The sequence below is a fragment of the Homo sapiens genome, chromosome 20, assembly GCF_000001405.40.
Source record: "Homo sapiens chromosome 20, GRCh38.p14 Primary Assembly".
Classification (NCBI taxonomy): domain Eukaryota; kingdom Metazoa; phylum Chordata; class Mammalia; order Primates; family Hominidae; genus Homo; species Homo sapiens.
Window position 1 is genome coordinate 55,576,869 of NC_000020.11, and position 27,959 is coordinate 55,604,827.

The 27,959-nt window shown below is 37.2% G+C and overlaps 1 long non-coding RNA gene across 1 annotated transcript in view, besides 1 other annotated feature; it reads right to left on the reverse strand.

Moving 5' to 3' along the window:
- Positions 1–591: 591 nt before the first annotated feature.
- The window catches only part of LOC105372676 (uncharacterized), a 60,004-nt gene continuing 32,636 nt past the window's right edge, over positions 592–27,959 (reverse strand). The window contains exons 4-5 of the long non-coding RNA XR_001754682.1: positions 4,852–4,927; positions 592–1,100 (exon numbers count right to left, since the gene is read on the reverse strand). This is a non-coding gene — a long non-coding RNA (uncharacterized LOC105372676). The remainder of the gene's footprint in view (positions 1,101–4,851; positions 4,928–27,959) is intronic.
- Positions 1,241–2,440: an enhancer, noted in NCBI's record as "CDK7 strongly-dependent group 2 enhancer chr20:54153167-54154366 (GRCh37/hg19 assembly coordinates)". NCBI's record gives its function as "activates an origin of replication core promoter dependent on BRD2, BRD4, P300/CBP, MED14 and CDK7 cofactors, with strong dependence on CDK7, by STARR-seq in HCT116 cells {active_cell/tissue: HCT116}" and the evidence as "EXISTENCE:reporter gene assay evidence [ECO:0000049][PMID:35650434]".

The following is a 27,959-nucleotide window of genomic DNA, read 5'->3' on the forward strand; positions in this document are numbered from 1 at the left end:
AATTACTCATCAATGAGTAGGAAAATTTTTTCTTAGTTCTTTCTTCCTCTACATAAAGATTGACATTCATTTTCATAGAGCACAATTTTGAGGCTTAGATTTTAAGCTTTCTAATTGCATTTGCAAATAAATGTTATGCTTCCTGTAATTGAATAATGGAAACAGGAAATGCTAGTTTATCTCAATAAGATAAGCATCATCATTGTTTTCCTATTTTTCTGGAACCCGTAGGGCCAGATTCAGCACTTGAGGTAACCTGCAATACTCCAGCATCTCAATTAAGAAATGCTTTGAGAGACATTATGAATATCTTCCAATTCTTATTGGTCTAGGTTGTAGATGAGAATCCTGACATCTGTTCTTTGCTGTTCTCAAAGTGCTTTTCTGTAATCATTTGGTCCTTATACCACCTTCAGCATTAGGGAAATGAATTTTACTTTCATGTTTTATAGAAATGGGAACTGACATGCTGAGTGATTAAGAGATTGGCCCCAGGTCATGTAGCCAAAAAATGATGGAGAAGAGAGTCAAACACAAGTATGCAGATTGGAAGTTCACAGTTCATTTTGTGCCTCCACTGTCCCTCCCAGTTTGGTTGGGGTAGATGCAATAATAAACCAGACTCCTCCAATTGTAAGTGACAAACCCAATTCAACCTGGTTTAAGCCAAAACATGAATCTATAACGTGATGTTAGAGTCCACAAGTAAGACTGCTATAAGACTGGACTTACAGGTAAAAATATGCTTACAGTAGAAAAGACAAGGTAGAAATGCTATTATCGCAAATCTGTTTCTCTCTATCAGCTCTGCCTTCTACTCCATCAGCTTTAGTTTCAGGCTCCAAGTGGTGGTGTCTGGTCAGTCCAGGGCAAAAGAGAAAACTCACTTTCTAGTAGTTCTAGCATTGTCTTTGTCCATCTTGTGTTGCCATAACAGAATGCCTGAGGCTGGGTAATTTATAAAGAAAAGAAGTTTATTTGGCTTATAATTCTGGTGGCTGAAAAGTTTAAGATTGAGCAGCTCCATCTGGTGAGGGCCTCATGGTGCTTCCAGTCATGGTGGAAAGTGGAAGGGGAGCAGGTATGCGTAAAGAGATCACCTGGGGAAAGAGAAAGCGAGAGAGAAACCAGGAAGGCCAGACACTTTTTAACAGCTCACTCTCATGGGAACTAATCCATCCCTGCCAGAGCAAGAACTCCCTTACCCCACAAGAAAGGGCTTTGATCTATTCATGGGGGATGCACCCCCATGACCCAAACTGCCTCCCACTAGGTTCCACCTCTCAACATGGCCACACTGGGGATCAAATGTCAACATGAGTTTTGGTGAAGACAAACCATATCCAAATGATTCACTGTGACTGAATGACTTGGATCATGTGCCCACCCTGGACCAATTGCATCATTCAGAAAGATAAAATTACTCTGATTAGCCAGGCCTAGGTCTCCATTCAAACCATGTGGATTGATAATAGAGAACTAATGTTTCCTCCAATAGGCTCAGGGTGCTATTACAAAAAGAAGGATAATAGCAAAACAGATATCCATTACAAACTTATAAGAAAATGAGACAATTTTGTCTGACCTGGCCCTGACATTTTCAGTTTTTTTTTCTCTTTAACAATTGTGTTAAGTTGTTTTTTAACAATTGTGTTGAGTGTTTCTAAAATTGCAATATGAAAATTTGTCGTTGATTAATTTAAAATGTCTGTTAATAATTTCTGTTAAATGCCTTTCAACTTTGTGTTTTCCTGTCTCCGTCACTCTAGCAGGCTTCTGGTATATAAATAAATGGCGATAGCATACAACAGCCCCAGCACCAGGCTGAGTGGATTCAGATCACAGCTCTGTGACTTTTCTTGACTTGGATAAGTTAGTTAACCTCTCTGGGCTCCAGTCCCTTTTCTTCATTTGTAAAGTAGAGATAAAAAAGAATACTCACTTCATGGGGTTGTTGGGAGGATCATAGATAATGCCTAGAATTTGTTTGGCATGTGTAAGTGTTCAGCAAATATTCAACCTGATTATTGAACAAATCCCTAACTGATTGGAACAGCTTCTGGAATTTAGGAAGTTATCAGTGAATATTACTATTTGCTTTCTTCCCTTCACCCAGCAGCATTTTTGGGGGTCTCAAGAAAGGGTAGATTCAAATGTTCTCTTTTACATTGCTTTCGATTCTCTTGCAATACATGCAAGATGAAGCCTTTACAAATTGATGTATGTGAAGCCCACACATCTGGCTAGTTGACTGTGGTTCTAATTGCCCAATCTAATGCTTTTAGAAAATAATCACTTTCTTGCAAAACAAACAAACAAAAAATTTGTACTTGGCCAAAGGGAAATCAATCCTGTGTTCTGAATAGCTGAGTTCTCCTCAACATGCAGAGCAACGCTCAGAATGGAAACAAGCATGTAAACAACAGCTACAGAAAATTCAAAGCCTAGGTACAGAGCACCTTGATTCAGCACCTCTGGGAAATTAGAAACAGTCTCTTTTCAATTTAGTCTTAAAAAATCAGCTTCATCTACTATGTTCTTAAGAAAAATGGAAGTTACAGTCAAAATTAAGTTTCTTGTTACCTGTATGAGAGTGACCATTGTCCCTGTTTTTACATGAAGCTGTAAATTTGATTATAAATACTTGCATACAAATGTGAAACAAAAGTCCTGGGTGAGAAGACAAAGCAAAGGAAGTTACCTCCAACTGTCCAAGTCATTCATATCAATGACCAGCTTGGGATCATGTCATTGACCTTTGAAAATCCCCATTGCCTGCACCACCAGCTACCTCCAATTAAGCCAGGTTTTTGTGTAACTGTGGTTGAATATCAAGTGGATCAGCAGACTCAAAGCAGGAGTTGATGCTGGATGCTCCCATATTAATATGACAATATCATGATTATTTTGGTATTTTTCTTAGTAGTTTAGATGTATATAGAACTTCAGGAAGCACTTACATTTTCTAATAGCATTCACTCTAAAATAATCACTAAAATGGTTTATTGTGTTCCTTTTTTAAATGTGGAGATGGAAATTGTAATTCAGGGAGGTTTGACTTACGTAAATTTGTGTGGTTTGTAAGCAGTAAGGAAGCCAGGCAAAAGCAAACACTGAGTCAGTGTAGTATCATAATTAGGGTGAGTTTGGGAGCTAGACTCCACGTATATGGTTGTATTTAACATTCTAAGACTGAGTTTCTACCTCCACAAATAATTATAATGAGATCTGCCAAGGATTAAACCAGTTAATACATGTAGGACATTGATCACAGGGCTCAGCTCACAGAAATGATAATTGCAATACCATTGCAATAATGGTAGCTTTTAGTTTTATTATTTCCATTCTCACTCTAGAATTTTTCAAGCAATATATTTTATTTCCTCATAGTCAATAAAATGCATGTATAGTTCCAGGCATGAGCATTTTCTGTAGAAAAATCAAAATGATCTTTTCTATTTCCCTGGCAAAATATAGTTTCTCAAATTAGTTCTTGATAGACAAAATCTCCAGCACCCATACAACTATTGCATTTGAAACCAGACTTTTGGGGATTATATGTCTAGATATTTGCTAAATCTTCATTGAAAATTGTTTCCTTGCAGAACACGCATGTTTAAAATAGCCAAAGAAATGTGCGTTGAATCACCTAGATTATTGACTTAAAAAAATTAAATGTCAAATATCTTCCTAAAAGCTTTCTGACAGAATGACAAGTTAAATTTTTCACAAAACAGTTTGGCCTCTAAAACAATCAGTTGCAAAATGCCAGAAGTAACCAGGAGGGGTGATTCATGACTTCCACACCTGTTTTGAGGTAAAGAAGCCAACAGTGGGTTGCAATTACACCAAGGCAGCCATGTGGACTCCCCCTCCTTCTTGGCCAATTAATGCTAAAAAAAGATCCTTTGTATTTGTGAAAAAGATGACTTGGGCCTATCTCTTGAAAATTCAAGGTTGGCATATTATGGGTGCATATTGAAATATTCTGATCATTAGGCAAAAAAGAGACTGTAAATAAGTTGGCTTTCATAATGCTATTTTTCAAGTCAACTTATTACTTGCAGGGTTTCTCAAAGCATGACACATATCTCACCTTTATGAAAATCATCCAGAGTACTTAATATAAATTTGGGTTTTCAGGCCCTGCCTTGGATGGACTAAATTAGAATCTTAGGGCATAAGGCCCTGAAATCTTTATTTCTAAAAAGAACCCCAAGTGATACTTTTACGAATGGGTTGAATAAGCTTTGTATGCACGTGTGCAAATCTTTTTAAATAATCCTACAAGAAAAAATAAGTCAATGCTTGTTTGGATTTCAATCCAGAATGACTCTGATCCCTTTCTAAATATTTATCTTCTCCTCACATGTGCAGTCCCAGGTTTCATCCTAACAATAAATTTCAATAAGAAACAGCTCTAAGAACTCTAGCAGCTTGAAGCTGGAGGCCATCATTCTCAGCAAGCCAAGACAAGAACAGAAAACCAAACACCACATGTTCTCACTCATAAGTGGGAGCTGACCAATGAGAACACAGGGACACAGGGAAGGGAACATCACACACCGGGGCCTGAGCTGGGGTAGGGGGCTGGGGGAGAGATAGCATTAGGAAAAATACCTAATGTAGATGATGGGTTGATGGGTGCAGCAAACTGCCATGGCACATGTATACCTATGTAACAAACCTGCATGTTCTGCACATGTATCTCAGAACTTAAAGTATAATAAAAAAAATTAAAGACAAAAACAAAAAACTGTAGCAGCTTGTGCAACGTGAAGAACAAAGGCCATTTCTGCATCTCATACCTGTTGGACACTGGGTGCATTTGTGAGACACTGGGCAACTCACCAAGTGCTTTCGCTTTCCCACTGGCCTTAGTAGCAGGTCTCTACTCTCGCTTCTTGTATATACATGGTCTTCAACTCTGTCATTTAGGGAATACAATTAGAAATAAAATTCTGGAGTCTGCCTGCAGTTATTTAAGTAGGTTACTAATAAACACGTGGTAAAATTCTTTTATATTTTTTCATTTTAGTAATGTAATGATAGTTACATTCAAAACACATGCACTCATGCAACTGTAGGTAAACACACACACACATACACAGAGACACACATAAGTTGAGCTGTCCTATTAGAAAATTTTAAAATATATAAATATATTGTATATATATACTATATATAGTATACATATAGTATATATACTATATGTAATATACATACTATATATACTATATAAAATATACAGTATATATACTATATAAAATATACACACTATATATACTATATATTATACATATAGTATATACTATATATAGTATATATATTATATATAATATATAGTATGATGCACTATATATGTAATATATAGCATATATAGTATGTATCTTAAAAAACCATTTTCTCCATCTTATATTTTAAAAACCCTTCATATTGTATTCAGCTATTCTACGGTGGGAGAGGGGCAAAATTGAAACAGGAGTAACCTTGTAATTTCATTAATGGGTAGGATGTTTTTCCTCATTCTTGCCAATTACAAACAATAATGTTCGCCCCCCTCCTGACATAGGATGTAAAATGCCCTTTGCTCTCACTTAAAGACAAAATTCAGCTTTTATCAAATCACTAAATTAACATAGGAAGAGTTATTAAATTAAACCTGGGCGGTGCAATTAAAACAAACTTTCACATCATTTCTCTAGAGGTAAAGAAAAAGGTTACATATGCAACCAGAGCGTTCTGCTAATCCATAAAGAAGTCCACAGGGCCCAAGTGAGTTGCAGAGCCATCTCCAAGACAGAGTGACTGCTGTGTAAAGCAGCCAAGGCCCGCTGAAAGCATAAGACTCATTTCCTGTATTTCAAGACAAAGCAGACACTTCACACTGGATACAAGGGAATTGAGATTTACGGAATTTGTTGAATATGTCTATTCTATAGGCATACATCTTGTTTCATTTAATCCTTATAACTGCCCTAACGGGTGGGCCCAGCTATCTCCTTGATAATATGAAAATCAAGGTTGTTAAGCCAGCAAGGAGCAGGAAATATTCCATCCTAGGATGGCCTGATTAGGGACATTCCACCAAGGAGATTCCAATTCAAGACCCTACATGTGCTGGCAGTGTCTCTCCTCAGTGTCCCCATGTTGAACCACAATACCTTTTATTCCTTTCATTCTTGTCTAGGGATTGGAAGACTATGACCAAATCCAGTCACTACCTATTCTTGTAAATAAAGTTTTATTGGAACATAGCCACCTCCATTCATTTAAATATTGCTCATGACTGCTTTTATGCTACTGCTACAGAGTCAAGTATTTGTAACAGAGACCTCATAGCCCACAGATACTAGAACATCTGGTACCTGTATTTTCAAATAAAAAGTGTGCTGGCCCCTGCTCTAGTCATACTGAGAGTCTTCTCTGCCCCAAGATTAGAACAGGTCCTTTCTTGTCCCTCAGGTTCTCCCCACATGCTGTCCCCTTTGCCTGAAGTTAACTTCGTGGTATCCTTTTATTGGGGACTCTCTCATCTTTCAGGACTGTTTTCAAAGGACATTTCCCTGAGGGGTCATCGCTCATTAACCAGGCCCAGGCTTTATTTTTTCATGGCTGCCATCCTCTTTAAGTGTAATACTTTATATGTTGTTAGCCTAGAACAGAGCTCCACGTGGGTAGGGATCACATCTATGTATTCATTTGACACAAGCAGGGCCCAGCCGTCCTGGAATGGGTGCTCACATAATAAATTGATATTCTAGAAGAAATTTGGCAGAAAAAGATAAACTGTAGCAGAGATAGTCTGACTTATTCTAGAAAAACACTGTTAAAATGAGAAAAATTCGCTCTTTAAAACTACCATTACATGTAGAGATAGAACTACATAGAGTTAAAAATAGATTTGTAGATATAGAACCTGTCATGTGAATAAGCTGTTGTTAAAAGAGATTAAACCTTTTTAATAAGGTGTAATAAGGTAAGGACAAGTAGCACCCAGCATTAGGTTAGGTTTTATTTCAAAAGTTGGCTTATTACAACCCCAGATGGGTTTTCCACCGTCATATCTGGTGGTTAAATTTCAAACTGCCCCTCAAAAACTTCAAGACTAACAATCTTAGTAGTTATGAAGCAAGGCAGACATTTAGGCCATAAGAGAATATTCTAATTCCTCCCTTCCTAGGTGAAAAGCAGACACCACAGGCATTTTAACAAACGGGTCAGAAGCGAATCTTACCTTGGTCAGCCTGTCTCACCGGACTTTGTGCACCTCCCCTCACTTCCTAATCAGTCCCTTCCAGGCCCTCATTAATGTACGATTTTATCTAGCAGATAGGAACTCAAGAATTTTACAGTTTAGTAGACTGATTAAAGTAAGCACATATCTAATTGTCTTAGGGCAGTGCCCCCAAGAAAGGTAAGAAAAAGTGTAGTGAGGGCTAACAAACACTGTTCAGCAGAGCAGTTAAAAGAATAGGTTAGATTCAAATCCAGGTACGTGAGGATGCATGTGTATGTGTGTGGGCATATATATATGAAATATACTATTTGATTAATGTTTCAGTATAACTCCTCCAGTGTTTTCACTCAGCAATGTTTTTTATGTTGCAATCTTAAATATCTTCCCTATTCTTTTTAAAGGTTGTATGATATTCTATGAGAAATTAGACACTCTTGTGTTCTCTAAACACTTCAAGCTTCTGTTACGATAACCCCCATGGCTGTTACTATACATGGCTGTGGGAACTGAGCTGATCAGGGCTGAGAAAATAGTTCTAACAGAGAGACTGTTTTCAATCTCAGTGGTATTAAGTCAGGAACTGAATGCACTTGAAGGACTAAGAATTTGATATGCAATTAATATATAAAATATGAATATATAGTTGAGTATAGAAAGGAGCATTATTAGTGGACATAGGTGGAATAAGATTTAGTGCAAAGAGTTTAGATCATTTTTATTTTTAGGCCTCAGACATAAATCTGAAATGCTTAACAGAACAGTGTGGCAAAGAAATACTTTTCAAAATTATTCAAAGTAATTTTTAGTAATTTACTCAAAGTAAATTTGGAACATCAAAATTTCAATATAGTATTAGATTCTCTACCCAGAAGTCCCCACATGTGCTAATTCCCAATATCATCAGTCTGTCCCTATTACAACTTTGAAATATCTATGTTATTGCATTGTGTTGTCTTTATTTGTGCATGCCTGCTGCCTTAACTCTGAGCTTATTTTGAAGGCAGAAACTGTGTCTTATTCATTTGTATATTACCAGTATCTGACACAGTACCCAACACAATGTAGGTCCTAAAAAAGTTTTTGGAATGAATGAATGAATCAGTGGCTTCATTAAAAACATGTGATCCATATGCCAATGTTAGGAAGACATTTTGCTTTAGGATCAAGCAAATCTGGTTTTTAAATTGCTCTGCCATTTACTAGCTATGAGACTTTAGAGGAAATAAACTCTCAAGGCCCAATTTTTCACCCGTAAAATGGGAGTGATAATATCCTTATAGAAGCATTGCACAGATTAAAGGAAGTAGGACATCTGTATTGGTTAGCTTTTGATGAATAACAGATCACCCCACTTTTGGTGCCTTAAAACAATAAACATTTATTATTTCTCACACATCACTGTCAGTTCATCTGAGATGGTCTCGCTGACATGTCCAATAATTGGCAGGCTATTGGCTCAGATACCCTGGTTCTCCTCCACAGGGCTTCTCTAGCAAAAGATTTCAGGCTCATTCTCTTGGTGGTGCTGGGGTCCAAGGGCAGTGGGAGAGAGCAAGCCCAGATGTGCAAAGCACCTTTCAAGCCTCTACTTACATCACATTTCCTATCGTCTCATTTGCCAAAGTAAAGTACATGACCAATCCCAGAATCAGTATGGGAGGGGTCTACCCAAGATGCAGATAGAGGTTGGGCAATTATTGCAGCTATTTTGCAATCAATCAACACTCAGCATCTTAAGTGTTTAGCACAGTGTCTAGAAAATAAAAATATTTGGCCGGGCATGGTGGCTGACGCCTGTAATCCCAGCACTTTGGGAGGCCGAGGCGGGCGGATCACGAGGTCAGGAGATCGAGACCATCCTGGCTAACACAGTGAAACCCCATCTCTACTAAAAATACAAAAGATTAGCTGGGCGCAGTGGCAGGCGCCTGTAGTCCCAGCTACTCAGGAGGCTGAGGCAGAAGAATGGCATGAACCTGGGAGGTGGAGCTTGCAGTGAGCCGAGATCGTGCCACTGCACTCCAGCCTGGGTGACAGAGCGAGACTCCATCTCAAAATAAATAAATAAATAAAAACATTTAATTTAGGTTAGCAATAATCATAGCACAACCATTGTTGTTATTATACAAAAAAGCATTTTCTATAAAGAAAATTATCATATATGATCATATATATCATATATGATCATATATATCATATATGATCATATATATCATATATGATCATATATAATTTCCATGATACTTTCTTGAGATCCTTCTTAGCTTCTAACTGCTCCATCTGTAAGTCTCTGCCTTATCAGGAATCTATCACTCTTCTTTCACATGGAATTATTACTACTGACAGCTGATGATGATACTTATATCTTGAGATGGAATCTAAGTCTGGGTTCCCTCCGAATCAGAATTTCAGCAAGAGCTTTGAGGCAGATGGTTTATTCGGAAGGGAAAGCTGGGAAACAGGAGACAGACAGAACAAAGTGGGGAAGAAAAGACAGCCCAACATAGGAATGAATTGCCTGTGATGTTGTGAGAAAAGCAGATGAATTGCTTCAGGATCTCTGGGAAGCATAAACTATGCTTCTCTATACTGTCTAACCAATAGACAGGAGACTGAGCATTAATCCCCTGGCTCCCGCCTCCCCTGCGTTGAATTTGCTCATGGAGCATTAAGCCCTTCTCACCTCACTCCTGTACTTGCCAGCTGTGTTTGCCTACGGGCCCAGGAGACTCACAGGTCAGCCCTAGAGCTTGATTTACAGACACTACAGGGGCACACTTTAGGTGGGATACTTTCAGTGGGAGGTGAGCTGGAAATGGCCACCAAAGCTGCCGCTGAAATTGAATATGTCCCAAGGAGCTATAACAGGAACACCCCTAGCATCTTCTGTGGATGGTAAAAAGAGAGAAAAAATAATTGCAGGACTTGCAGGTGACAGTTTCCCATCATAACTCCACTCCACAAGTGAGCCTACACTGCCCTGGAGGGCTTTCACTGCCAGTGCATTTCTAGCAACATTGGAAACATAACCAGGAAAACAGTGATGCATGGCCCATCGGAAGAGGCACAATCATCAATAAAGCTACAGTTTATTTCACAGTTTGATCTGAGTGGTATTGTTTTATGCAAGTCTTTCTTCAAATATCTTCCAAGCCACTTTACATTTTAAATGTTACAAATCCTAATACCCATGTTTTGTTTTGCTAATTTTTTTGAATGGGTATCTTTAAGAAACTATCTGTCTGTCATATAAAGAACTGGCCATCAGGTTATTCAAATAAGCACTTAAAACTACATGGAGAAGAAGAGCCTGAAGTTGTATTTATTCTAATAAGTTGATGCTTAAGGATTCAGTGTGATTTTCTTTTCTGCTTTTTAGAAGCAGCAGAAACAATAAACAATTATCTCTTGGCATACCCTTGATCAAGACAGCCAATTACAAATACTCTGTATTTATGTTCCCTGTGTTTGGTAAGACAATTTTAAATATAGACATCATTGACATTGAAATTATACCTTGTCCAATTGTCTTGCATACACAAGGAACCTTACAGGTTGAAGAATTCACTCCAACTCCTCACTTAGTTTTTTAAAAAGAAAAGTGAAATTGGTTAAACTGGTAAAATCAAACAGATATCTTGACATCAGAACACAAAGTCAAAGGCGAAGTTTCCAGGACATCGAAGTCACTTACATCCTCTGCTCAGCTTGTAGAGAATGCAGCATGTTTTATTTCCTAATTAATCACAGCTCAGTCATGTGGCACTTAAGTGCCTACCACTTGCTTGGAAACCAGTAGGAATTAAGCTGGGCTGGGAAGGCTGTAAGATCAAGCCTTTATGATTGTTCTCAGGAATTAACTGATAAATAATATATGCAACATCCCACTGATTCAAGGAACACTGAGTTTGATCTTAGAAATCCACTCACAGAATTTTTGTAAACAAGTCTGATATGATTCCTGATATATTGTATGCTTTCTCATGAATTTTATTGAATAAATATGCACACACGGGCAGTCTGATTCAGGCATATGTGTATTATTTATTTTTCAATTTGACAAAACGTTTATTTGAAAGTAGTTTTAATGAAAGATAGATGTGCTTTTGGGTTGCTCTTATGATTTGATGTGAAATAAAAATAATGACATTGCCTTATGTAAATATGATTTTAACAAAGTAAAAAATACTTAGTTTCAAAAATACAGTATTCTGATTTCAACAGTTACATTATACACACAAAATCTCCTGTGATATTGATGAAAAGAAAAGAGGCTTGAGAAAGCTGAATATGAAATTCTGCAATGATGCATGATCTTATAGACAAGAACTTGATATATTGGGGCATGAACAGGGATATAGTTAGTTCTGATTAACACGTCAGCAAGACGCCATTCATGTAGTTCCTGGGCTGCAAATGACAGACCATTTACTGGGGTTGTACACAAATTGTTCAAGTGAAGAATCAGTCAACTAAGGCATTTTTAAACAGACTGTTTACTGGGGTTATATCAAAATTGTTCAAATGAAGAATCAGTCAACTAAGGCATTTTAACACACTTCGTGTAAGCAGTATTTTCTAGCAAGCATTACTACAGAACATTGCATGGAGAAGGCTTTGTGCCATGAGCAGAATAAGATAATATACCTGGTTGTGAAAATATAACCTCAAATATGTCATTGTTCTTTTTTTGCAGAAAGAGGGATTACAATTTAAAAAGTATTTTATGTGAAAAAAAATACATAGATGAGCTAAGAAGGACATATGTCATGACACTGTTCAAGTTTCAAGATGGGAATCTGAGGTCTGAGCACAATTTTTCCCTCTCACTAAACCCTTAGAAGTGAGGAAAAATAGATGAAAGAACTTTTGAAAAAATATATTTTCATATTTATCGTTATCCAGTATACTTTTCTGTGTGCTTAAAATACCATAATAAAATTACCAAGAAAAAAAAAAAGGAAAGAGAAGGTATTTCAGCAAGCAAAGAATTAATCTTTGTATTTCCAGGCTTCAGTAGGGATTGATCCTGACCTTGTTGCTCTTTAACCTTTCAGATGACTGTGCCATGTCTCATAAACTGTCTCAGAATCATACCTCAGCTGCAACAAATCTCCCTCCACGTTGAAGCATCTGCATATTTAACCAATATGCTCCAATTCCAGTAGACTGTTTATCATGTAATTTTCTGTCTCCTGTGTCTAAAACAGAGGACTCAGACACCCTGCTGTCCCATAGGGAAGTCCTTTTACTGCTTAATTTTTAATCTTCGTATATTAAAAACCCTCTGGTGCTCTTTCTAGGCAAACTAAAATCAGAAGTGCAAGGCCGTAATCCACAGAAATCTGCCAGTCCTGACAATTGGGGAAAAAAGAAAAAACAAAACTTCCCATTTTCTAATGAAACAGGAGAATTCCCTAATGCCCTCGTGGGATTTGTGACAGGGGTGCAGCATGCTCAAACCCATTAGGGGAGGGGGAGCATGCAGACAGGCAGGTGCAGGAGCCAGGGAGAGCACTTTTGGGCTCCAAGGCTGTGGTAGCATCCAGGGGTGTGTTACAATTTAATGCTCTTTTAGCAGTTCCTGTCCACAGATGGATAAGTGTTAAACCAGCACAGTGGAGAGTCAGGGTAACAGCCTTTTACACCCTGCCCTCTTGTTACCCAGGTCCTTGTCCAGTGTCTGGGAAGAATCAGGTCACACGGACTTGAAAAATGGTGAATGCAGGGATTTTATCGAGTGATTGAGGTGGCTCTCAGTAGGATAGATGGGAAACTGGAAAGGGTATACAGAGGGAAGATGATCTTCCCCTGGAGTTCAGCCATCCCATGGCTGATGTCCGCTCTGACTGTCACCAGTAGAACTCCTCTCGATGTTTAGACACTCCATCTCTTCTCTGCTGCTCTGCTGCTCTTCTGTTCCTCTGCTGTGGAGCTTGGGGTTTATATGGGTACAGGATAGGGGTGTGGTGGGCCAGAGTGGTCTTGGAAAAGGCAACATTTGGGCGTGAAAACAGGAATGCCTGTTTCTAGTTAGGGCTGCGTGATTGCAGGCTTGAGGATGGGGCCTATGCTGGGGAACCACCCTCTTTTACCCAGTATTTCCTTGCCTCCTGTTCATATCACTAATTATTAACCTGTCTTTTGAATAACTACAATAGAAACACATTTTAACCATTGTTACTGCTGCTCTAGAAAGCACTTTATCTCATTAGGGTGAGTACTCCCGAAATGACTGAAGGAGATCTTCAGCCTCAGCATGATCAGTGCTATAGCTAAGTGATTCTCACTTGTGGGGATTGTGCTGCGAGATGTTCAGCAGCACCCCTGGCTTCTACCCAATAGATTCCAGTAGGATTCTCCCAGTTGTAACAACCAAAACGTCTCCAGATTTACCAAATACCCACGCGGTGGGAGCAAAATTGCCCCCAGCTTAAAGCCACTGGTTAAACACAAAAGGATTTAATGTATAAAATGATGTACTTAAAATGTGTTCCAAGTTATATTGAATCAAGCTCCATGGAAGCTTCTGAAGATACTTCTCAGGACACCACAGAAACTGAACCTCCAGAAAATAGTGGGAGATCAGGACGCCACCGACCCAACTCTTAGATGACTTGGGGATAAGGATGTCATAGACCCAACTCCTACATTCAAGACCACCTAGTCTCCATCACATTTTTTTCCCAGTGCAATAGATAACTCTCTCTCTTCCTTTAACATCCACAACTTTAGAGACTGCATGCTATTCATCTTTGCCTACAGTCTAATCACCGGCCAACACAATAGCTACAGTCTGGCAAAACAGCTCACCTGGAATTGGATCTACATGCAAAGGGCACAGCACGTGGAACAGAATAAGCCCCCACTCAATAGAACTGTGTCTCTACAATAGAGAGACGGCACAGACTAACATCACAGATCTAAAACTTTACTGATGAGATATTTCATATTCTTTTTTTTTGTACTAAATCTTCAAAATCTACTGTGTATTTTATAGTCAGAGAACCTCTTGTTAAGTAGTTAACATGTTAAGTGCCCAGTAGTACATAGCATACAGAACAGCCTGGGTCTAAATAAGTTAAGGTCATCATTCCTAAAAGAAAAACTTCATGCTGTAGAAAAAGCATAGTGTCATTAGAGTAGCTGTAATAATAACAATAGCTAACACGAATATGGTACTTATGATGTGTTCTGTTCTGAGCACTTCACAGGATAAACTCATTTACTCTTCTCAATAATGCTGCGAGGATAGCAATATTATTAACAGATGAAGATTGAAAGGCATGGGAATGTTTGACGCCTGTCCAAGGCTACAATAAGACATAAACCTCAGAACATACTTAAAAAATCAGGAGGACGGAAGAGAATATGAAAGGTAAATGTACGAATTGCCTGAGTTTTGTTTTTCTTGTTGTACAAAAGGAAGAAATGAAAGTTATTTTGTTCTGAAGTTGTTAATAATATAGGATTAAAATATGCTAATTCAGGAAATACAAGTAACATTAAAATGCTTTCAAAATGCTGAAAGAGATGCATGTGGGAAAATGCTAATTAACTGAAAATGAAATTAATGCTAAATAATTGCCCATGTACAACTGAAGCCATCTTACCACCACCAGGTATAAGAATGTCACACACTGTGATATGTAGCAAAACCTTACAGGAATAGCAAGAACACAAAAATCATATAAACACACTAGTGGTTTTAAACATCATCAACTATTCCATCCTTCACAAATCCCAAAGATATAAAACAAAAGTTAAATGCTGAAATTAGAGTATAGCATTTTAAAAAAGGAAACAGCAAGGAAACATACTGAGCCTACTGCAGAAATAAGAGCAATGTCTCAAACATAATAAACATAATAAATAGAAATCACATATTCATTAAAAAGACTTTCATAATGAATAAAAAAATCAAAATATACTACAAAATAAAATACATACCAAATCAAAGTAATGAAAATTGTTTTAAAATAAAAGGATGATCAATAATATACCAGAGAAATAGAAAAATATTGAGATTATATAGCATCAGGCCTGGTATTACTGCATTATAATGTATAAAGAAATAATGTATAATGTAGCTTTGCAATGTATAAAGCAGCGCTTTTAAAACTTGCTTAATTCATAGGCTAGTTTCATAAGTTTTTGTTATGCCTTCATGAAATTTAAATTGTAATTTGCTCTACAATTTCTTTACATTGAATTCTTTTAAATTAAATGATACATCTTAAACAGAAGCAATATATCACCATCAAAATACAAAATCATTCTCTATTGCAAAAAATAGAAGGTAACTATTAAACAAAAACTAAAAATTGGAAATTTCCCTAGATGTGCTAGTGTCACTGAAAGTCTCAGAAAGAAACAGATAAAAGGAGTTTTGAAAACAGACTATTTACAAAGGTTTGGACTGGTGGGGACAAGTCTAAAGTTGACAAGGAATAGTGTGATGCTCTGGAAATAGCAGCCGCTGGGGACAGTTACCCACCCTTGACAGGAAGGACACAGAACGGAGAGCTTTTCAGGAGGCCCGGCTCCTAGAAGCTGCTGCATTTGGAGAAGAAAATGTAGCCAACCCTAAGTGGCCCAGAGAGAAGGATCCAGCAATTCTCAAATCTCTTGCCATTGCCCTGTTCAAACACACTTGTCTGCCTCCTGAGACAGAAAGCAGAGGCAAGAATAATGGAGAGTAGATGGGTGTGGGCAACTAGAAGATTCTCAAAACAACTCTATTCTACCCAATATTCTTACGAAGTCTTGCTCTTCTCTAGTAAAAGTATACTAATACCACCAAGTTCAGATTTTCTTCTTTCATAATGAAGACTTGAAGATAAATGAAAAGGAAAGCACTGCCTCCCAATGTTCATGCCATGCCCATGTACAGTTGAAGCCAACTTACCACCATTCATAAGAATCCCACACACCGAGATACGTAACAAGACCTTCCAGATACAGCACGAACACAAAATCACATGAACATACTAGCGGTTGTGACCACAATCATACCGTTGCATCTTTCGCAGGCACAAAGATATGAAACAAAAGTTAAATATAGATGAATCTGAAGAGCATAGCCCGTAAATGTAGATTATACTTTCTAGACAGAGAATGCAGCTACTTCTTATGTGTATATGGGGTATTTACAAATACTGACTACAAATTAGACTCCAAACAAATTCAAAATTCTGAAGAACAGAAACTAGACATATATAATTGCCCATAATCTCTGACAGCAATGCAATATACCTAGAAACACGTAACAAATGAAAAAACTGAAACTTGACTACTTAGAATTTAAAAGAAAATATTTTCTACTGAGTAACTCCTGAACCACAGAAAAAAATCAGAAGTGCAATTGCTGAATAGTTAAAACACAATGATACTGAAAACTCTCTGTATAAAAAATATGGAAAGATGCCAAAGAATTTGTTCAATAGAAAATCAGAATCATAAATGTTTCCTTGCCGAAAACAGAAAGAATGAAAACAGAAAAATAGTGTTTTCAACATAAAAAATATAAAAAAAGAACTCAAAGAGCTAAGGAAAGCAGAAAAATAGAAGAGATCAATATAAAAGCATGAATTAATTTGTTGTAAAAGACAAAAAGTAAAATTGATTAGTACACGAAATAAAAAGGAAAATAGCATCAATAGAGAAGAATGCATACATTGGAAAACAGAAAAATAGAATTGAAAAATTTATAAAATAATTCTTTTTAAAATAAGAACAAATAATTTTATTATAAAAAAGAAATACATCGGCCAGGTGCAGTGGTTCACGCCTGTAATCCCAGCACTTTGGGAGGCTGAGGCGGGCGGATCACGAGGTCAGGAGATTGAAACCATTCTGGCTAACACAGTGAAACCCCATCTCTACTAAAAATAAAAAAATTAGACGGGTGTGGTGGCGGGCGCCTGTAGTCCCAGCTACTCAGGAGACTGACGCAGGAGAATGGCGTGAACCCGGGAGGCAGAGCTTGCAGTGAGCCGAGATTGCACCACTGCACTCTAGCCTGGGCGACAGAGCAAGACTCCGTCTCAAAAAAAAAAAAAAAAAAGAAAGAAAGAAAAGAAATACATCACTGTGGAAACTTATTAGGAAAATGGAACTGATTAAAAGAGTATTTAACAGAATATTTGCTCAATTCTATGCTAACAAATTTGAGAATGTGACTAGACCATTTTCTATAAATATAAAAGTACTATACTACAAATTGGTCCAACAAAAAAATAGAATTCTTCAACAAACTCAAAACCAAGGAAGAAATTGAGAAAGTTTTCAAAGATCGAATTCTCAATAAAGTTTCAGAAAATTTCATGCATGAATTCCTACAAATCTTTAAGAAACAGATAACTCATGAGCTTTTTAAATTGTCCTAAAGCATAAAGTTAGAATTAATGCTTTCTAATTCTTTTTACAAAACCACTGTAGCACAAATACCTAAGCTTAACAAGAATAGCACTGAAAACAGAACCTATAAACCAAACCCATGAATATTGATGGAAAAATCACAAAATATCAACAAATAGAATCCACATAACATTTTAAAAATAAGTTTTAGTTCAGATATTCAAGAATAATCTAACATTAGAAAAATATCATTTTCATTCAGCATATAAATCAGCAGAAAAGTAATAAAATGATCATATCAATAAGGCCAAAAACACATATATGATAGAATTGAGCATTCAATCATATATTTAGTAATATCTATGTCATTTATTATAAAGTAGATGTAGCTGCTAAAATTTAACATGTGATATATAAATAACATTTCATAAATGAATGAATCACAATAATTTGTTCCTGTAGCTACAGCTTTCAATCTGAATAGAAAAGAGTCACTTCCTCCTGAACAGAAAATAGTAGCCTGGATAGAAAAGCACATATGTCAAAATTTTGCAAACACAGGCACAAATAGGGCTCACCCAGGTATTAGCTAGGTAATTATGTCCAATTATATAATCTATTCAAGACTCAAAGTTTTGTAACATGAGGGCAATAAAACACATCTTGACAGGTTATTTTCAGGATTGTAAAAAGTGCAGAACACTTAGTACAAAGTAGGTGCTCAACTAATGCTCTCTTCATTGCCTTTGTTGCTAGCTGTGGTAAAATAATTTGCACAATTTGCATTTGAATCCAAGCTTACAAAATAAATATTTTCTTATAAAATCTCTACCCCTCTACCACATCCATTTAGGGAGAAGACATAACAGGTCAAAAATATTTTTCCATTATAAAATCATTCTTATGTGAAAAAATGTATAAAATGAAAATGCACAATATAGAATTAAAGTTTCTCATAGTTAATTCTCTGTCATAGGCTTCATTATATTTGGCATGTATTCCTCTATGCTTGGGATCTTAGTTGGGGCTGTACCCTTTAAATACATTTTTAAAACAAAATTGTAAAGTCTTCAGAAAAATACTTAATTTGACAACTTCATTTCACACATTGCTTTACAGTTACTTATATATTTTACAAGACCCAAACTGGCTGTGTCTTTGATCTGATCCAAAGTCATATAGTATATAATATAATCCGTCAGTATTTAAAATCCTAAGTCATTGGTCAAATATGGAAATGTTTCAAGAGATTATGACTGTGCCAACCTTATCCCTTCTCATCATGTAAACAAACAAATCAGTTGGAAGTGGATGGGTCTTAGCGGTAGCTCAGTCATAACCATTTTCAAATATGAAGGACCAGAAATACAAATAGTTGGAACAGAATCCCATCAGATGACATGCAGGTATGCTTAATTATTTGTCTATATAACAAAAAATTTTAAATTTGCCCAGTTTTCCACTTAATTTCATCAACATAGATAACTATATATTGGAGGTTCCTCAGTGGCAAGTAATAGAAAGAAATCATTGTCTCATCTTGAACTATCTCGTTGAACTATCTACAATTGATGAGTTTAACCATGTAATTGACAATATTCCAATCTCCACTGGGCTAATGAAAACCTCAGCACACTGATAATACCTCAAAGTTTTTTCCTGTTCAAGTTTTTAATGTTGCTTGTGGTTAAGGTTCATCACAATTAAATACCAGATTATTGCCTAAAAAGCTTATTGTTGTTCTTGTTTAGCTGTCTAATTTCCTTTTGTTAATATGCTCTTAAAGCTGTTACAAAATACTTTTTCCAAGCTAATTTGGGAAAGACATTTTACAAAGAGCAGGTAATTTTAAAAGCATCATTCTAAAGTTGATCTTTCATTATTTCTCTAAAAAACAACATAATTGGTAGGATCAAGGCCACCTACAGATCAGTCTTTAGGCAAATCTTGTATATTCAAGGTATAAAACTTCTCCCTGAGCCCAGTCTCATTATCTAATGGGAAAGTGCTGAGAAAGATAAAAGTTATGAGATTATTTTTTCCCTTGCTTTCTGCCCCACCTCCCTACTTTCATAAAACATCTTTTATCAGGCCATGTCCTGGAAAATCAGACATAATTGCAGTAACCTTAACAAGTAAAGGGAGGAATCTGTCATATCCTATTTTTATCAACTTTGTTTTGAAAGCTTTCGATGTGTAGCTTCTTCTATTAAATGACTTAATGCATATGTGCTCTGCAAGAGGAGATTAAGCCATGTGTATGCTGTCTGCTGTATCTAGGGGTGTCATTTGGAGAATCAACTTCAATTAAATCTAATTACATTCCCCTTCAACTAGAGAGGCATGAAAAGGACCCATAAACTTAATTTTAATTGTAAGTCAATTACATTGTGAAGACGCAGAAAAAATATTAAATGAGTATGACAGAGTCATCCTGCATGGATACTATACTCTCAGACCTCATGTAAAGAGAATTACTAGGAGTGAATTTAAATAAAAATCCTTATTCAAATGTTACCCAAAATATTGTACCCATTTTTTTTTGAACTAATACCCATATTTCCAATGGGAATGCAATCTAATGTGGAAAGATGTCATTGTTCATTGGGAATGAAGAATGAAAATTCCGTGCATTCAGGTCATTCAAGGGAAGAGACAGACAGGAATTCTTTAAAACTCAGACAACCAGCCTGCTCTGTAATCATGGCCAAAAACAACAAAGTTGTAATTTTTATACATACCTTTCAATTGGTTAATAGACTTTTGGAAAATAATGCTCATAATTTCAGAGGAACTTGATGTTGCCATTGGCCAGGCCCAACTTACAGAACCTCTCCTGCAACTAAAGGTGCCACTCAAAGTACATAGACCAAGAACCAGGGCAGGGTGCCCCTACAGGAATATGGCACATCGTGAACAGAAGCAAGGTGAATGGATACTAAGTAGCACCAACAATAGATTTCCATGATCACAGGCATTCTAAAATTATTTCTTTGATTAAGACATATTGGTGGCAACTTTAGTTACTGTGCTATATTGCCTATCCTCTCTTCAAGGCACTTTAATGAAACTGGTTTATTTTATGAGATTAAATGAAACACTCTTCTAGAAATAGTCCTCATCTTCATTGTGAAGGTATTATTCAGGACTTTTTTTCATATATTCCACACTGTTCTTTTTCTTTCTTTTTTAGAATCCATGTGAGAAATTTTTATCTGTTCTTAGCATCAGGAATAGTTATGACTCCTCTGAGAAATATGTTCAAGTTTCATTTTCTAGAATCCTGGGACTTGTGTAACTAATCATGTTTCCCTAATGTTTTCCTATTTTTAACTCTCTGAGAATACTAGCACCCTTAGCAAGTAAATGTACGGGAAACTTATGTATGCTTTTTACAAAATTGTTGTTATTACACAGACTTATTTACTCAACTTACAGTTTGAATTAGTTCAGTGCATTTTATGTTTTCTTATAAGATATACAATTTGTTTAGTCAAATGAGCAAAGATATGAAATCATATCTTTGAAATCATGTCTTATGGGAATCAAGCTAGTAATGGAAATGGGTCAAGCATCTCACATGGGAAGGGCATCTGGTTCTCTTTCTAATGACACACTGGTTCCTCTGATCCAGCCAATTAGTGTCACATTGAGGATTGAGACCCATATGGCCAGATCTTTAAGAAAAGGCAAAACTGCATCCTAAACCCATGTTGCCTTCAAAGATAGATGGTGGATAATACAGAACTATATGATCTTCCTTAAGTTAATATATTTTTGTCTTCATTAAAAGCATAAGAAATGAGAAACATTTTATTTATTAAAGCAGTAAAGAAAATGATGGAAAGGGTATTTGTTAGCTCATGGAGTGACTGAAGAGTCCACAGTGCCTGGTTGGGAAAATGGGCAAGAACCAGGGATTTGCGTCTGAGCACAAACTTGACTGCAGGAATGGGAAGCCCTAGTTCTGCCGCTCTGGACATTCATCAACATGCTGCTGGATCGGCTGCCACCAGCACTCTGCACACTGGATTGTCTCCACCTTGGAGACTGTGTCCACCTTTGACATGAATCCCAAATGCACCCTGCCTCTTTCGGGAGCATTCAGTAGACTAAGCTTAACTGCATGTTTAAGGCAAAGCTGCCAGAAATTGGTGAGAACCTGTACCTGAGCTTTGATCCTTCATTGTAGGAAGGTTTTCTAAACATAGGACAGGGATTCATAGATGTGGTATGCATAAGCAGAAGGGCAAATCTCCACCATAGGACCCAAGAGCAATATCCATCTAACAGTTTTTTGAAATGAACAACAAACAACCTATTTTATGCTAAGCAATATTTTTTTTCGTCTAAAACATCCAGTTGACTATTCTTTTAATAAATAGGAGATGAGAACAGTTTTATCTTTGGGACTAGTAGTTATTATCCATTAGTGTTAGGGCTCTATCTTTGAAAGTTATGTGGCATTATTAAATAATAATATTCCCCTTGTTAGGGTGATTAAACAAACATTTAATGATCTCTCTGTGAGAGATAAAAATAAAAATACCTAGATGACAAAGCAAAAGCCTTTCAAATACCCTTAGAAGAAACCAACCCCAAGGCCCTTGTGACAGCCTCCACATGCTATCAAAAACCAGTAGCTCAATCTTATTAAGTTAGACTCACCTGGAAAGGTTAAAAGTTTTAAAGTATAGATTCCCAAGACATCCCAGAGATTCAAACATAACCCTCCTGGGTTGGAGCCCAGTCTTGGTATTTGTTAAATGTTTTTCCAGGTATTTTCAGCACTGAGATCAGCACTGTTCTGATCCCGAGAAGAAGGAACTGGTACCATAGATAAAGGGAAAAAAAGGGAAAGGAAACTTTTCTATTTGAGAAGACCACAAGTAGTCACCTTTATAAAAACATTTATCCCACTGGCATATTATTAGAGCCATTAATTTGCATGAAGGATGAGATGAGAAAAAAGTTTATATAATTTCCAGAGGATTGTAGTACTATTGAGTGCTGATATAATAATGATGATGATGATAATAATTGTGAGCTCAACAGGAGAAAGTACAGTGACCGACTCCCAAGGCCGGCCATGGGTGCAGGTAGAGCGATTTACCACGTACGCCAGGTATTTGCCATCCTTAAAGTGTTTCCTTCACAACAGTTCATCCTACTCAGTACGTGTGATCTCCGATTAAAACTATTGATCCACTTGACTAGCTCTGACATAGCAGAGAATCTGGCTCTGCGAGGAGACAAGAAACAGGTGAATTATTTGCAAAGTAGAAAGAGAACTAAAGCAGTGGCAACAAGTCAAGACAATGAGACCAAACTGGACTAGTAGCTGCTGTATTCCTCCCCTCCAAGCACTTGGCAGTTAATTATATACACAGTCAGCCCTTCTTATCCACAGTTCTGCATCTGCATCTGGAGATTTAACCAACTGCAGGTGGAAAACACAGTGATGGTGGGATGCAGAATCTATGGATAAGGAAGGTGGACTTTTTGTATCCATGGGTTCCACAGGGCTGACCACTGGACTTGAGCATCCTCAGATTTACGTATTGTTGGGGATCCTGGAACCAATGTGTGTATATGTGTGATATGGTTAAAATACGTATTTAGTTTTCATCCCCATTTCCTGATAATATAGCTTCTAAAACGCTTGGAATCTCTGGAGTGATGTCTTCTGTATACCAATGAGCTGACTGGCAACTGGCAGTCCCTGGGCATCTTCAGGTAGAGCCGGTAGCAAGAAACACCAAGGCAGGATTAAAGGATTGGGGCTTTCAGACCCACCACAACCTTCAGGGATGGGAGGGGGATGAAAGCTAAGTTGATTGCCAACTATCCAATCAGTCATTCCTACTTAATGAAGTTTCCATACCCAACCCCTCAACCTGAAACACACACACACACACACACACACACACAAACAAAACAAAAAAACACACAGGGTTTGGGGAGTTCATGGATAGTGGAACACACAGAGGTTCCCTGAGTGCAGTGCACTCAGAGAGGGCATGGAAGCTCCAAGCCCCTTCCCACACGCCTCGCCCTATGCATCTCTTCCGTCTGGTTCTTCATCTGTATCCTTTGTAATATCCTTTATAATAAACTTGTAGAGGTAATTCTGAGTGTGTCCCTGAGTTCTGTGAGCTGCTGCAGTAAATGAATCAAACCCAAGGAGGCAGTTGTGGGAAGCCTGATGTATAGCCAATTGTTCAGAAGCACAGGTGAAACAACCTTGGGCTTGTAATTGGCATGGGAAGTTTGGGGGCAGTCTTCAACCTGTGGTATCCAATGCTATCTTCAGTAGATAGTGTCAGAGCTGAATTGAATTAGAAAACACCCAACTGATGTCTGCTGGAGAATCTGTGGAATTGCTTGCTTGGTGGCGAGAAATCCCCGCACTTTGGTGATTAAAAGTCACAGAAACATTTGTGTTATGTTGAGTATAAAGTAGAGTAGGAGAAACTATTTGTTTATTCCTATATTACAGTGTGAATTTAATTTGTATGTCATTAATATAAGTAGATATACATGGCTCATTAGGTAAAGAGCAAGTGTTCATTTGAGAACATATATATTCAACTAATGAGTAAGTTCAAGGAAATATATGTGCTTGAATGAAAACTGGATCTTTACCCAATATATAAAATGTATAATATTAGATAACCAGTTCTACTCAAGTATCCTTGATGAAGCAATAAATATTATTAATGTTATTAACTCTTGACCCTTACATACATTGCGTTTTAGTGTTCCGTTTGGTGAAATGGGAAGTTCCCATAAAGCACACCAAAGTGCTATCACATATCAAGGAAAGGGACGTGCAGGGAAAATGAGCCTGTTTTTACCTGGAATGCCATTTTTAACTATAATATATGGTAGGCAAACTATGGTTACTCAAACTTGTGTAGTATGAAGGTGTATTTTTGAAAGTGAATGAAAGGAGTTATCACTTTAAGGGGAAAAACAAACAATATTTGCCACCAGTGATAAAATTTGGACTTTCAAGTGAACAATAGCATTTTTAAGTTCTATGTGCCACCATGAGCCTGGCAACTTCCCAATACTTAGGATACTTTTCTGCTGAGATATCTGGTAACATTAATGAATGTGAGTTTTTTGTATATTTGAGAATGAATTAGATCAACATTTGGAAAAATGTATGATGCAGTGAACCAGTAGTCCCCAAATGATCAATGTGAGATGCCACGCATGGGAAAAGGACCCATTCATAGTGGAAGATAGACCAAATGGATTTTGCTGTCCTAAAGTACAAACGCATTGATATAATTTTAGATTTATCACCTAGCAACTAATGTATAACTACTCACCTCTTGTCGAATTTCACCGTGCTATCAAAGGAAAGTACCAACAATGAATCTAAAGAGACTTCAAATTCTCCCTCCCAGTGGCATGTCATGGTCACTTTGCAAAGACAGCCCCAGGAGAAATAGAAGGAAGCAGAAGAAAAGGGAGAGTAGAGTACCCTGAAGACAAACTGACTAGCTCCACCTTTTTACCAAGAGAAGGGCCCTGTGATAATGGGAAGTGTCTGTGAGTGCACTTTTAAATCTTGTACGCTTTTACCTTACCTTAGACCCAGTCCTATTCTCACCTATATTAATTTCATTTTTTCCTTTAACTCATCTTTCCTTTACATGTGTTTGAAAAGCAAGCTTTATCTCAGTAATGCAAATGAAACACCAAAAATTTCTCTTAAGTGGAACTGAACTCTCAAATCAATGCACATAATTAAGACAAATTTATCTTTCAGTCTATCCATATGACACCCAAAATCATTGGCATTCTATCAGCGTTGTGTCCATTGTTTTCCAAGTGTCTTCCTCAGCTTCATTTTAATATCTCATATGTTGTTCAAAAATTAATGAAAATCTTCAATGCGGAAATTCTTTGAACACTAAGAAATTTTCATTACAGTCTTTGGTGAATGTGTTGATCTTGGAGTAAGATTAAGTGAGAATAACTAGCCAAACCAGTCACCTCTCCCTGACTATATCCTCTCCCACTGTAATCTATTCTCCACCGCAGCCAGACTTGTCTCTCTGGAAATTTTGTACTGTGATGTTAATGCTCTGCTTATAGTTCTCTTCCTTAAACTCATTATTAAGTTCATTTCTAACTCAGGACGCTTGCACATGCTGTTTTCTCTGCCTGGAAAGCTATTCCCAGAGATCTTTAATGGCTGGTTCCTCTTTATAAATGCTATCTTGACAACCTCCCCATCCCCCTACCCCCAGTCTCAGGAATTACCCCTTTCCAGAATGCAGTAACTGTGGCACCAATCAATATATGAAATTATCTTATTTGTGTACTTATTTTCTCTGCCTCTAGCATTAGGTTTCACTCATCACTTATGGAAGACTAATTGCAAAAATGGCCTTGATTATTCCCCTTCCTGTATCTTTACCCCTTACAACGTGGCTTTGTACCTCATCTTAGAAGAGGTAAAGTCTAGTCCCTCAGCCCTGAAATCTAGACTGGCTTTTTATTTGCTTTAGCTAATAGAATGCATAAGAACTGATAGTAGGTGACTTCTGAGCATAGGTTCAAGTACTTTCCCCTTCCTCTTTAGTACTCTAGCTTTACTAGGAGATAAAACTCTGGCTAACCTGAGGACGGAAGACCATAGGAGAGAGTCTAGTTGTCCTAGGAGGGGCCATCCTAGACCCATCAACAGCCAACTAACCCCCCAAACAAGCGAGAGGGCCCAGCCAAGATTAGCTCAACTGTGTACCCTATCTGTACCAGAGTGCAGATTGGTGAGTGTGCCCAGATGAGAACAGCGGGCAACCTAGGTGTCCCATAGGCTGATGAGCAGTAATAGATGCTTATTGTTCTAGATAGTTTTTTGCTATTGTTGATAATTATTCACAGAATTAATGTGTCAATAGATAACAGATTCACCACTCTATCTCAAGAACCTTGAGTAGTGCTTGGCACATAGAAAAATATTTTGATTAAAAAAAAGTTAGTGGATGTTTGAAAGAATGAAGAACTAAAACGTAACTTCTTTATATACTAGTCCAGTTACATTTTCCCAACGTGTTCTAGAACTAACCTAAACAATATTAAGAAGTTTGCTCATGCAGTTAATTCAGTTCTTCTGGGCATCCACACCAATTACTAGAAAAGACAAAAAAATACAACATTAGAATAGATATTGCTACTAAATAAAAGGTATTCAAATATTTATATCTACTCTCTCTGCAGTCTATAAATACACCCGTCCAGACAAGCTTTATTGGTGTTAGATGAAGTAGACTGCAGCTCAGAGACAACCGTTGTTTTCTACTTCCCTTTGAGCCACTGCTGGCTCATACAGAATGAAGATTTTCCTGTTTTGTTTCTGCCTAATCATTTATTGTAATGCCGAAGGGAAGAAAATAAATCTTGGACACTTTGACCAAATCAGTTTAGTTTTTCCATTATCACAGCAAGAGAGGAAAGTACTGGGTTTTCATTTTTAAGGATAATCTTTCTTAAAGTGTGTGCAATAACAAGCTAGGTTGAAATGATATTAGAGACATTTGAAATGTTTTTAAAGGGATTCAGGGCTACACTGGTTTCTGGCTTTAGTCAGAAGTAAGTTTGTTGCCCCCTTTCATTTTCTCTGGACAGTTGCAAAGGAATTAAGTACTCTTATAGATAGATGCCATTGACCAATTCAGAGAAATGCCTGGCTTGGAACTTTTCCAAATGAAGTTACCATTTAAAGATTCTTCCTTGTATTTGGGGGAAAAAAATGTTAAATGCAATTATTGTTTGTTTTGAATGTAATTATTGTTTTAATTAATTTCAATTCATAAGGCACTATCAATGTAATTAGAACGTTGGACTTTGAAATTAATTGAATATTTATACAGAAATGAGTTTTGTGTTTGTGCCAGCAATCTTCACCTACCTATCCATGTGCCAAAAATTGTTTTCTTTCCTCTTTCCTCTCTCCCTTCCTCACTCAGTCGTTGGTTTCCTCCTCCTTTTCTTCCTGCCTGCCTCCTTTTGTGCACTGTCTCCACTCTTCCTTTCCTTCATTCTTTCCTTTCTCTCTGCTTTTTATTTCTTCCTTCCTTTTCCTCTTTCTATACTCCCTTCCTTTTCTGTCCCCTTCCTTCCTTCTCTCTTGCCTTCTTTCTTTCTTTCTTGTCTCTCCCTCTTCTCATCTTTACTCCCTCCGTCTCCCCGTCTTGCTCCACCTTCCCCACCTCACCTTCCAGCCTCTCAGTAGCCACTTGGTGATGGTAGGGAGGATGAAAAGGTATTCCTTGTTTTACCACATTTACTCAGATAATTCACAGCATGGGTCCAGCATGTCTAATTTATTCTTTTTTTA